The sequence below is a fragment of the Homo sapiens genome, chromosome X (assembly GCF_000001405.40).
Source record: "Homo sapiens chromosome X, GRCh38.p14 Primary Assembly".
NCBI classification, from domain to species: domain Eukaryota; kingdom Metazoa; phylum Chordata; class Mammalia; order Primates; family Hominidae; genus Homo; species Homo sapiens.
This window is the reverse complement of record NC_000023.11, coordinates 1268814-1281172: the sequence shown is the minus strand read 5'-3', so window position 1 is coordinate 1281172 and position 12359 is coordinate 1268814. Positions and strand designations below refer to the sequence as shown.

Sequence of the window (12359 nt, the reverse complement as noted above, 5' to 3'; positions counted from 1 at the left end):
GGAGGAGTAGGAGGAGAAGGGGAGCTGGAGGAGGAGGAGCAGGAGGAGGAGGAGGAGGAGAAGGAGGAGGAGAAGGGGAGCAGGAGGAGAAGGAGGAGGAGGAGAAGGAGGAGGAGAAGGGGAGCAGGAGGAGAATGAGGAGGAGGAGAAGGAGGAGGAGGAGAAGGAGGAGGAGGAGAAGGAGGAGGAGGAGAAGCAGGAGGAGGAGAAGGAGGAGGAGGAGAAGCAGGAGGAGGAGGAGGAGAAGGAGGAGGAGGAGGAGAAGGAGCAGGAGGAGGAGGAGGAGAAGGAGCAGGAGAAGGAGGAGGAGGAGGAGGAGAAGGAGAGGAAGGAGGAGAAAAGAAGCTACTCGGTATGATTCTACAAATGGTGGATCCATGTCAATATACTTCTATCCAAGCCCATAAGGAAGAAGAAGAAAAAGGAGGAGGAGAAGGAGGAGGAAGAAGAAGAAGAAGGGGAAAGAGAAGAAGAAGAAAGAAGAGAAGAAGAAGGAGGAGGAGGAAGAGGAGGAAGAGGAGGAAGGGGGGAGAAGGAGGAGGAAGAAGAGAAGGAGGAGGAGCTACAAACTCAACCAATTGTCAACCAGAAAATGTTTAAATTCATTTATAGCCTGGAAGCCCCCACTTTGAGTTGTCCCGCCTTTATGGACCAAACTAATGTATTTCTTTTCTTCTTCTTCTTTTTTTTTTTTTTTTTTTGAGACGGAGTTTCACTCTTGTCACCCAGGCTGGAGTGCAGTGGTGCAATCTTGGCTCACTGCAACCTCCGCCTCCCGGGTTCAAGCGATTCTCCTGCCTCGGCCTCCCAAGTAGCTGGGATTATAGGCGCCCGCCATTATGCCAGGCTAATTTTGCATTTTTAGTAGAGACGCTGTTTTGCCATGTTGGCCAGGCTGGGCTCGAACTCCTGACCTCAGATGATCTGCCTGCCTCAGCTTCTCAAACTGCTGGAATTACAGGCATGAACCACTGCACCCGGCCTTTGTAGCATCTTTAGTTCAAGCATCTGCACCTGGTGGGACCCATCTGTCCACCCTGAGGTTCCTGCTCCAAACCTCCTCTCTGAAAGATTGCGTCTCTCGGCCGGGCACAGTGGCTCACGCCTGTAATCCCAGCACTTTGGGAGGCCAAGGCAGGCGGATCGCCTGAGGTCAGGAGTTCGGGACCAGCTTGGCTAATACGGTGAAACCTCATCTATACTAGAAATACAAAAATTAGCCGGGTGGGGTGGTGGGTGCCTGTAATCCCAGCTACTCGGGAGGTTGAGGCAGGAGAATCGCTTGAACCCAGGAGGTGGAGGCTGCAGTGAGCCGAGATCGCGCCACTGCCCTCCAGCCTGGGTGACAGAGGGAGACTCTGTCTCAAGGAAAAGCAAACAAACAAAAAAAAAAAACGGTTGTGTCTCTCAGACCGTTCCTCTGCAAGAGGAACCTCGCTTGCTAAGAGGAAGTAAAAGCATGTAGGCCACACCTGTTTCTTCTTCTCCTGCCCCTGCCCCCCAACTCATCTGTAGCCCACATGACAGGGATGTGGCCGCTTCCCCCACTGGACTGTGGCACCCCGCTTCTTGGAGCCTGCTTCTGGGTCTTGCAGGTGTTTCTGGGCACTGGACAGACTCTCCTGTGGCACCCTAGAGATGCATGTTCTGTCTGGGTGGGCCTGACCTTGAGATTCAGATACAACTCCCCAGGTGGTGGTAACAGGTGTAGAAGTCCTGTTCCTTGAGACTGGCCCCCTCTGCTGAGTCACTAAATGTTTGGGATATTTGTGTACTTCTCTTGCACTAGTTATTATTATTATTATTAATTATTATTATTATTTTGTAGACGGTCTTGCTCTGTCGCCCAGGCTGGAGTGCAGTGGTGCCATCTCGGCTCACTGCAACCTCCGTCTCCCAAGTTGAAGCCATTCTACTGCCTCAGCCTCCGAGTAGCTGGGACTACAGGCACGCACCAACACGCCTGGCTAATTTTTGTATTTTTAGTAGAGACGGGGTTTCACCATGTTGGCCAGGCTGGTCTCAAACTCCTGATCTCAAGTAATCCCCCTGCCTCGGCCTCCCAAAGTGATGGGATGACAGGTGTGAGCCACTGTACGTACGGCCTTCTTGGTTGACTTATTTATTTATTTTTTGGAGATGGAGTCTCACTCTGTCGCCCAGGCTGGAGTACAGTGGCGCCATCTCGGCTCACTGCAACCTCTGTCTCCTAGGTTCAAGTGATTCTACTGCCTCAGCCTCCGAGTAGCTGGGACTACAGGCACGCACCAACACGCCTGGCTAATTTTTGTATTTTTAGTAGAGATGGGGTTTCACCATGTTGGCCAGGCTGGTCTCGAACTTCTGACCTCAGGTGATCCACATGCCTTGGGCTCCCAAAGTGCTGGGATTATAGGCATGAGCCACTGCACCCAGCCTCTGGATTACCTAGTCTTTCACTATTTTACTTTCATAATAAACTTGCTTGCCCTGAATTTTTTTTTTTTTTAGACTGAGTCTCATTCTGTCACCCAGGCTGGAGTGCAGTGGTGCCATCTCGGCTCACTGCAACCTCCGTCTCCCAAGTTGAAGCAATTCTACTGCCTCAGCCTCCGAGTAGCTGGGACTACAGGCACGCACCAACACGCCTGGCTAATTTTTGTATTTTTAGTAGAGATGGGGTTTCACCATGTTGGCGAGGCTGGTCTCGAAATCCTGACCTCAGGTGATCCACCTGCCTCGGGCTCCCAAAGTGCTGGGATTATAGGCATGAGCCACTGCACCTGGCCTCTGGAGTAGCTAGTCTTCCACTACTTTACTTTCATAATAAACTTGCTCGCCCTGAAATCTTTTGTTTTTTTGAGACTGAGTCTCATTCTGTCGCCCAGGCTGGAGTGCAGTGGTGCCATCTTGGCTCACTGCAACCTCCGTCTCCCAAGTTGAAGCAATTCTACTGCCTCAGCCTCCAAGTAGCTGGGACTACAGGCACGCACCACCATGCCTGGCTAATTTTTGTATTTTTAGTAGAGATGGGGTTTCACCATGTTGGCGAGGCTGGTCTCGAACTCCTGACCTCAGGTGATCCACCTGCCTCGGGCTCCCAAAGTGCTGGGATTATAGGCATGAGCCACTGCGCCTGGCCTCTGGAGTACCTAGTCTTTCACTATTTTACTTTCATAATAAACTTGCTCGCCCTGAAATTTTTTTTTTTTTTTTTGAGACTGAGTCTCATTCTGTTGCCCAGGCTGGAGTGCAGTGGTGCCATCTCGGCTCACTGCAACCTCCGTCTCCCAAGTTGAAGCAATTCTACTGCCTCAGCCTCCCGAGTAGCTGGGACTACAGGCACGCACCACCATGCCTGGCTAATTTTTGTATTTTTAGTAGAGATGGGGTTTCACCATGTTGGTCAGGCTGGTCTCGAACTCCTGACCTCAGGTGATCTGCCCACCTCCACCTCCCAAAGTGCTGGGATTACAGGCATGAGCCACTGCGCCCGGCCTCTGGAGTAGCTATTCTTTCACTGTTTTACTTTTGTAATAAATTTGCTTTGGCTTTGCACTGCTGACTCACCCCGAATTTTTTTTTTTTTTTTTTTTTTTTGAGATGGACTTACTCTATCGCCCAGGCTGGAGTGTAGTGGCATGATCTCCACTCACTGCAAGCATCGCCTCCCGGGTTCACGCCATTCTCTTGCCTCTGTCTCCCGAGTAGCTGGGACTACAGGCACGCACCACCACACCTGGCTAATTTTTGTATTTTTAGTAGAGATGGGGTTTCACCATGTTGGTCAGGCTGGTCTCGAACTCCTGACCTCGTGATCCGCCCGCCTCTGCCTCCCAAGGTGCTGGGATTACAGGTGTGAGCCACAGCGCCCGGCCGCCCTGAATTCTTTCTTGCGTGAGATCCAAGAACCCCCTCTTGGGGGCTGGATCCGAACCCCTTTCCTGTAACACAAGCACCCTTCGTTTATGCTTTAAGGGAAGCATGAGATGGGGTAGGAAGGGGTTATAATGAGCGACTTCTAAGCTTTCTGTCATTTCTTCACCTCTTTTCCCTGTCTTCTCAGCTACTGCGTAAGCTTTATTTATTTATTTAGAGACGGAGCCTCGCTCTGTCTCCCAGGCTGGAGTGCAGTGGCGTGATCTCAGCTCACTGCAACCTCCACCTGCCAGGTTCAAGTGGTCCTCCTGCCTCAGCCTCTCGAGTAGCTGGGATTACAGGCATGCACCACCACGCCCAGCTAATTTTTGTATTTTTAGTAGAGATAGCATTTCACCATGTTGGCCAGGATGGTCTCGATCTCCTGACCTTGTGATCCACCTGCCTCGGCCTCCCAAAGGGCTGGGATTGCAGGCGTGAGCCACCACACCTGTCTGCTACTGTGTATGCTTTCTAGGAGGCCAGGATATGCCTCCCCAGACAAGACTGTGGGAAATCAGTATATGCCACTTTAAAATACATTTCACCCCAAAATATATTTACTTGACATATTTTGAAATGGTCCTGCAAAACTGTCTGTTGGCTGGCCACAGAGGCTCACGCCTGCAATCCCAGCACTTTGAGAGGCTCAGGTGGGTGGATCACTTGAGGACAGGAGTTCAAGACCAGCCTGGACAATACGGTGAAACCCTCTCTCTACTAAAAATACAAATACTAGCCGGGTGTGATGGCGGGCGCCTGTACTCCCAGCTACTCGCGAGGCTGAGGCAGGAGAATCACTGGAACTCGAAAGGCAGAGGTTGCCGTGAGCCAAGATCATGCCACTGCACTCCAGCCCAGGCAACAGAGCAAGACTCCGTCTCCAAAAATTAAAAATAAATAAATAAATAAATATATAAACAAACATAAAACCAAGCTGCTGGCTGGGTGAGGTGGCTCACGGCTGTAATCCCAGTACTTCTGGAGGCTGAGGCAGGCAGATCATGTGAGGTCAGGAGTTCGAGACCAGCCTGGCCAACATAGTGAAACCCTGTGTCTACTGAAAAACAAAAACAAACAAACAAACAAACAAACAAACAAACAAAATTTAGCCAGGCGTGGTGGCGTACCTCTGTAATGCCAGCTACTTGGGAGGCTGAGGCGGGAGAATTGCTTCAGCTCCGGAGGCAGAGGTTGCAGTGAGCTGAGATCGCTCCACTGCACTCCAGCCTGGGCGACAGAGTGAGACTCTGTCACAAAAAATAAAACAAATAAAATAAAATAGCTGGACGCTGTGGCTTACGCCTGTAATCCCAGCACTTTGGGAGGCCGAGGTGAGCAGATCATGTGAGGTCACAAGTTTGAGACCAGCCTGGCCAACATGGTGAAACCCCGTCGCTACTAAAAATACAAAAATTGGCCGGGCGTGGTGGCGGGTGCCTGTAATCCCAACACTTTGGGAGGCTGAGGCGGGCGGATCACGAAGTCAGGAGATCGAGACCATCCTGGCTAACACGGTGAAACCCCTTCTCTACTAAAAATACAAAAAATTAGCTGGGCATGGTGGTGGGCGCCTGTAGTCCCAGCTACTCGGGAGGCTGAGGCAGGAGAATGGCGTGAACCCGGGAGGCGGAGGTTGCAGTGAGCCGAGATCGCGCCACTGCACTCCAGCCTAACAGACTGAGCAAGGCTTCATCTCAAAATAAATAAATAAATAAATAAAATAAAGTAAAATAAGTAAACAAACAAAAACATATAAAACCAAACTGCCGCTCAACCAGCTTGGATACGTGTTCTCAGGATCTCTTTAGACTATTTTCCCTGGGCCTTCTTGCTCACTCATATTTGGCTCAGAATAAATCTCTTTAAATATTTTGCAGTGTTTGGGACGGACTGTCGCTCTGTTGCCCAGGCTGGAGTGCAGTGGCGCGATCTTGGCTCACTGCAACCTACGCCTCCTGGGTTCAAGCGATTCTCCTGCCTCGGCCTCCGGAGTAGCTGGGACTAGAGGCAACTGCCACTACACCCGGCTAATTTTTGTATTTTTAGCAGAGATGGGGTTTCACCATGTTGGCCAGGCTGGTCTGGAACTCCTGACCTCATGATCCCCCCGCCTCAGCCTCCCACAGTGCTGGGATTACAGGCTTGAGCCACTGCGCCCGGCCGGCTCTTTTTTTTTTTTTTTTTGACAGGTTCATGCGTCTCTTCTGCCTGGAGACCCTTCAGGAGGATGTGCCTTGTCACGCTGCTTCAGGAGGATGTGTACTGTCTCAGAGGGAACGTGACATGTTAAATTTGTCATAGGTCAGACAGTTCCTCATTCAGATTCTTCTGCCCTGAGTTCTCACTTCTATCCTGGTTCATCATTATGGAGCAAAACATTTCAGTTCTTTAGACTTCACTTAAAAAAAAGAAAATCCCCAACCACATTACCGACAGGCCGAAGGAAGCACGTACAGGGTTCTACGCAAACATCGCCGCTTCTCGGATCTGCTGTCTCCACGGATTTTCCTGCTGTAAACTGTGAAAGGTAAATAAGTCTCAGGACCCCAAAATCATGAAAGGTTATAGTGGAAACTGTCTTAGGCAAACCTGCCTCGCATTTTATTCGTAAATAAGGTACTACAAAGGTTTTAAAAATTACATACCAGGGCTGGGCGCCATGGCTCACGCCTATAATCCCAGCACTTTGGGAGGCCGAGGCAGGTGGATCATTTGAGGCCAGGAGTTCGAGACCATCCTGGCCAACATGGTGAAACCCCGTCTCTACTAAAAATACAAAAATTAGCTGGGCGCGGTAGTGGGTGCCTATAATCCCAGCTACTCAGAAGGCTGTGGCAGGAGAATAGCTTGAACACGGGAGGCGGAGGTTACAGTGATAGTGAGCTGAGATTGCACCATTGCACTGCAGCCTGGGTGACAGAACAAGACTGGATCCCCAGCTCCCTCCCCGCCAAAAAAATGTATGAAAGCAAATTGTGCCCTGTGTATCCACAGCACCTGTCATCGCGATTTCCTGAGGCTCTGTCATGGGCAGGCGTCCTTAACCTCGGCAAAATGAACTTTCTAAATGGACTGAGACCTGTCTCAGATACCTCTTTTTTGGTTTACAGGACATTTTGCACTCACGGAAAATTATGCAACATCTTTGCGTTTTGTCTGTACCGCTTATACTTTTTTCTCTTCTTCTTTTTTGTGTTTACAGAATGAGTTTTCTTTCCCCTTTCTGGAAATTTTCGGCTGATCCTAAAATAGAGGCCGCCAAGCTTCCTTCTCAGATTCAAAGCAAGAATGATGGAGAGTGAGGGAAATCATGATATTTTACCCCAACACAGGGCTCCACGGTATAACAAGGATTTTTAATGAAAAACCCTTTCATGCCGGGCGCGGTGACTCACGCCTGTCATCCCAGCACTTCGGGAGGCCGAGGCGGGCAGATCATGAGGCCAGGAGATCGAGACCATCCTGGCAAACACAGTGAAACCCCATCTCTACTAAAAAAAAAAAATACAAAAAAAAAAAAAAAAATTAGCTGGGCGTGGTGGCGGGCGCCTGTAGTCCCAGCTACTCGGGAGACTGAGGCAGGAGAATCACTTGAACCTGGGAAGCAGAGGCTGCAGTGAGCCAAGATTATGCCCCTGTACTCCAGCCGGGAGCAGTGGTTCACGCCTATAATCCCAGCACTTTGGGAGGCCGAGGCGGTTGGATCACCTGAGGTCAGGAGTTCAAGACCAGCCTGGCCATCACAGTGAAACCCCATCTCTACTAAAAAAAAAACAAAAAACAAAAAACAATTATCTGGGCACGATGGCTCATGCATATTACGCCAGCTATTTGGAAGGCTGAGGAGGCAGGAGAATCGCTTGAACCTAGAAGACGGAGGTTGCAGGGAGCCAAGATTGCACCACTGCACTCCAGCCTTGGAAACAGAATGAGACCATCTTAAAAGAAAAAAAAAATACAACTAAGAAACATATTTTGGGGCAACATATGTTGTTTTTTTTCTCTGTCTTGTAACGTTTGCCAGAGTCAGGTTGGAAAGTAAGTCACGATATACAGGGTTCAATAAATCCCATTTGATGAGAATTTATGGTTTGTAGGGCTTGCCTCCTCAGACCTCTTAGATAGGAATTTGGGCAAGATAAAAAAAGTCAGAGGCCCGGTGTGGTGGCTGGTGCCTATAATCCTAGCACTTTGGGAGGCTGAGGCGTGTGGATCACTTGAGGTCAGGAGTTCGAGACCAGCCTGGCCAACCTGGTGAAATGTTGTCTCTACTAAAAACACAAAAATTACTCAGGCAGTAGTGGTACGTGCCTGTAATCTCAGCTACTTGGGAGGCTGAGGCAGGAGAATTGCTTGACCTTGGGAGGTGGAGGCTGTGGTGAGCTGAGATTGTGCCACTGTACTCCAGTCTGGGCGACAAAGTTAGACTCCATCTAAAAAAAAAAAAGAAAAAAAGAAAGAAAAAAAAAAAGAAAAAGAAGAAGCTAGGTGCAGTGGCTCATGCGTATAATCCCAGCACTTTGGGAGGCCGAGGAGGTTGGATCACCTGAGGTCAGGAGTTCAAGACCAGCCTGGCCAACATGGTGAAACCCCGTCTCTACTAAAAATACAAAGAAAATTAGCTGGGCGTAGTGGCGGGTGCCTGTAATCGCAGCTACTCGGGAGGCTGAGGCAGGAAAATCGGGTGAACCCAGGAGGTGGAGGTTGCAGTGAGCTGAGATCGCACCACTGCACTCCAGCCTGGGCGGCAGAGTGAGATGCTGTCTCAAAAAAATAAAATAAAATAAAATAAAATAAAGAAAAAAATCAGAGTTCAGTCCGCAGTAGAAATTATATATTGCTCCTCAATAGAATTCCTCTTTCCCCCCAACCCTATAACCTTTTTTTTTTTGTACCAGGATCCAATCCCCTATCCTTCTGTAGTCTCAATGTGGTGTACTAGCTTCTGAACCTCATTGTGGGGTGGAGTCCTCATTCTGAAGAATCTTGTGTATACACATTCTATAAATGTGTAAATCTGGCTGGGTACAGTGGTTCACGCCTGTAATCCTAGCACACTGGGAGGCCGAGGCAGGCGGATCACCTGAGGTCAGGTGTTCGAGACCAGCCTGACCAATATGGAACAACCCTGTCTCTACTAAAAATAGAAAAATTAGCCAGGCATGGTAGCACACGCCTGTAATCCCAGCTACTGGAGAGGCTGAGGCAGGAGAATCAGTTGAACCTGGAAGGTGGAGGTTGCAGTGAGCCGAGATCATGCCAGTGCACTCCAGCCTCGGTGACAGAGCGAGACTCCGTCTCAAAAAAAAAAAAGAAAAAAAAAGTGCATGTCTTTTCTCTTATTAATCAATCTGCCTCATGTCTGTCATCTACAGCAAACCTACAGGGGACCAAGAGCTTTCAGCCCTCGAGAAGAGCTTCTCGAGTTTAAACCAAAAATCTAAAGAGTGAAATCCGGCCGGGCTCCGTGGTTCATGTCTGTAATCCCAGCCCTTTGGGAGGTCAAGGTGAGCGGATCATTTGAAGTCAGGAGTTCCAGACCAGCCTGGCCAACATGGTGAAACACCATCCCTACTAAAAATACAAAAATTAGCCGGGCATGGTAGCACACACCTGTAATCCCAGCTACCCAGGAGGCTGAGGCAGGAGAATCACTTGAACCCGGGAGGCGGAGGTTACAGTGAGCCGAGATCGCACCACTGCACTCCAGCCTGGGCAACAGAGCAAGATACTGTCTCCAAAAAAATAAATAAATAAATTCAAAAATTAGCTGGGCATGGTGGCACGTGCCTGTAATCCTAGCTACTCAGGAGGCTAATGCAGGAGAATTGCTTGAACCCGGGAGGTGGAGGTTGCAGTGAGCGGAGATTGCACCACTGCACTCCAGCCTGGGCGACAGAGCAAGACGCTGTCTCCAAAAAAAAAAAAAAAAAAAAAAAATACAAAAATTAGCCGGGCGTGGTGGCAGGTGCCTGTAATCCCAGCTACTCAGGAGGCTGAGGCAGGAGAATTGCTTGAACCCAGGAGGCGGAGGTTGCGGTGAGCAGAGATCGCGCCACTGCCCTCCAGCCTGGGCGACAGCACGAGACTCTGTCTCAACAAAAAGAGTGAAATGTGATTTAGCACACCTATAAAACGCGCAACAAGCTGTCCAAATCCAGACTCTTAGTACCCCAATCTGGGTGGTAACTTAAGATGCTTCATTTCTGTCTTTTTTAAAATTTGTAATAATTTAATCTTTTTTTTATACACGAGGGATGGGGGAATCTTACGATGTTGCCCCGGGCTGGTCTGGAATTGCTGTGGCCTCAAGCAATCCTCTGTCACCTCAGCCTTCCAAAATATTGGGATTACAGGCGCCCGCCACCACGCCCCGGCTAATTTTGGGTATTTTTAGTAGAGATGGGGTTTCACCCTGTTGGCCAGGCTGGTCTCGAACTCCTGACCTCAGGTGATCCGCCCACCTCAGCCTCCCAAAGTCCTGGGATTACACCACGCCCAGCTTAGAGGGACTCCATCTAGAATAGGGGCTGGGAACAGGGAGGCTGGGACAGGCTGGGCAGCATTCCCTGGAGGTCAGCCATTCCTGACGCAAGATATGTGAACAGATCAATACTGTTTACTAAACAGACCGAGGACTGAACAGACACAGAAACCTCCTGATGTGTTGATATCTTCAGAACAAAAGCTTTCATAGTGTGAGAATCCGTTTTGCTTTAAAAATGATAATATTGGGCCAGGCGCGGTGGCCCACACCTGTCATCCCACCACTTTGGGAGGCTGGGGCAGGAAGATAGATTGAGTCTAGGAGTTCAAGACCAGCCCGGGAAACACAGTGAAACCCTCGTCCCTACAAAAATACAAATATTTGCCAGGAATGGTGGCATTTGCCTTTGACCCAGCTACTCGGGAGGCCGAGATGGGAGGATTGCTTGAGCCCAGGAATTCAAGACAGCAGTCAGCTGTGATTGCACCACTGCCCTCCAGCCTGGATGACACAGCCAGATGATCTCAAAATAATAATAATAAAAAATATATAATATGTATATATACAATATTGATTACTGCAAAAGATAGTCATGACAAAGATGAATCCTTTATCAGTCACCCTTGTAGTGGAGCATCTCTCCCCACGACTTTTTTCTTTTAGTTATCTTTTTTTGGGGACAGAGTTTTGCTCTTGTTGCCCAGGCTGGAGTGCAACGGTGCAATCTGGGCTCACTGCAACCTCCGCCTCCCGGGTTCAAGCGATTCTCCTGCCTCAGCCTCCCAAGTAGCTGGGATTACAGGCACACACTGCCACACCTAGCTAATTTTTTCTATTTTTAATAAAGGTGTGGTTTTGCCATGTTGGCCAAGCTGATCTCGAACTCCTGAGCTCAGGTGATCCGCCCGCCTCAGCCTCCAAAAGTGTTGGGATTACAGGCATGAGCCACCGTGCCCGGCCCCCCTTTACTATCTTAATAAGCTTGCTTTCAGTTTGCAATGTGAACTTGCCTCCAGTTCTTTCTTGGGCAAGATCCCAGAACCCGTTCTTGAAGTCTGGATCAGGACCCCTTTCTAGTAACTAGTAACACCATCACACTCCCTCCCCCTTTCAGCTCTGCGTTCATCTCTTTTCATCTCTTTTTTTTTCTTTTTCTTTTTTTTGAGACAGAATCTCGTCTTGTTGCCCAGGCTGGAGTGCAGTGGTGCAATCTCAGCTCACTGCAAGCTCCGCCTCCCGGGTTCAAACGATTCTCCTGCCTCAGCCTCCTGAGTAGGTGGGATTACAGGTGCCTGCCACCACCATGCCCGGCTAATTTTGTATTTTTAGTAGAGACGGGGTTTCTCCATGTTGGCCAGGATGGTCTCGAACTGTCGACCTCAGGTGATCCACCCGCCTCAGTCTCCCAAAGTGCTGGGATTACAGGCGTGAGCCACCACGCCCGGCCGCGTTCATCTCTCGAAACGGCTTCCGGATGCCACAGATAGCTGTGAATTCACGTGATAATTCCGTGCTAGATACTACACCCCAACGCCCTGTAGCTTAGCAATGTACAGCCAATCATTAATCAATTGTTTTTTTCTGTAAACCAACGAGAATTCCCAGCAAACAGCTTCACAGAAGCCCCCTCCCTGTCCTCCAACAACACCTCCCTCTTTTTATTTTATTTTATTTTTTTAATTTTGCCTTTAAAAACCTGCATATAACAAAGGCAGAAGACAACTCATATGCAAGGTTCCTTGGCTCTCAGTCTTCTGGGCCGCTGTCCCCACTTCGGCTCGAGCCAACGTTTGAAATCTTATGTTCCAGTTCAGTCTCTTTCTTTTCTATCGACAGACACAGCAGAAACATGTACCCGGGTGACTCGACATGCTCAAAGACCACAGAAGGAAAGAACTTAGCTTACCCCCACGGCATCCGCTTCCTCTCCTTCCACCTGCTTTTCTTCTCTCGGAGACTCCCGCTTCTGAGT

The 12359-nt window shown here is 49.4% G+C and overlaps 1 protein-coding gene across 36 annotated transcripts in view; it reads right to left on the bottom strand.

Moving 5' to 3' along the window:
* The window catches only part of CSF2RA (colony stimulating factor 2 receptor subunit alpha), a 56405-nt gene extending 44046 nt beyond the window's left edge, over nucleotides 1–12359 (bottom strand). For 12 of the 36 annotated variants that reach the window (NM_001379159.1, XM_047441851.1, NM_001379165.1 and 9 more), the window contains exons 1-2: nucleotides 12294–12359; nucleotides 6355–6418 (exon numbers count right to left, since the gene is read on the bottom strand). The gene's annotated coding sequence lies outside the window, so the exon portion shown is untranslated. Of the gene's footprint in view, nucleotides 1–6330; nucleotides 6419–8211; nucleotides 8334–12293 lie in introns of all 36 variants that reach the window. The other 24 variants (NR_027760.3, NM_001379163.1, NM_001379164.1 and 21 more) reach the window with 4 other exon arrangements.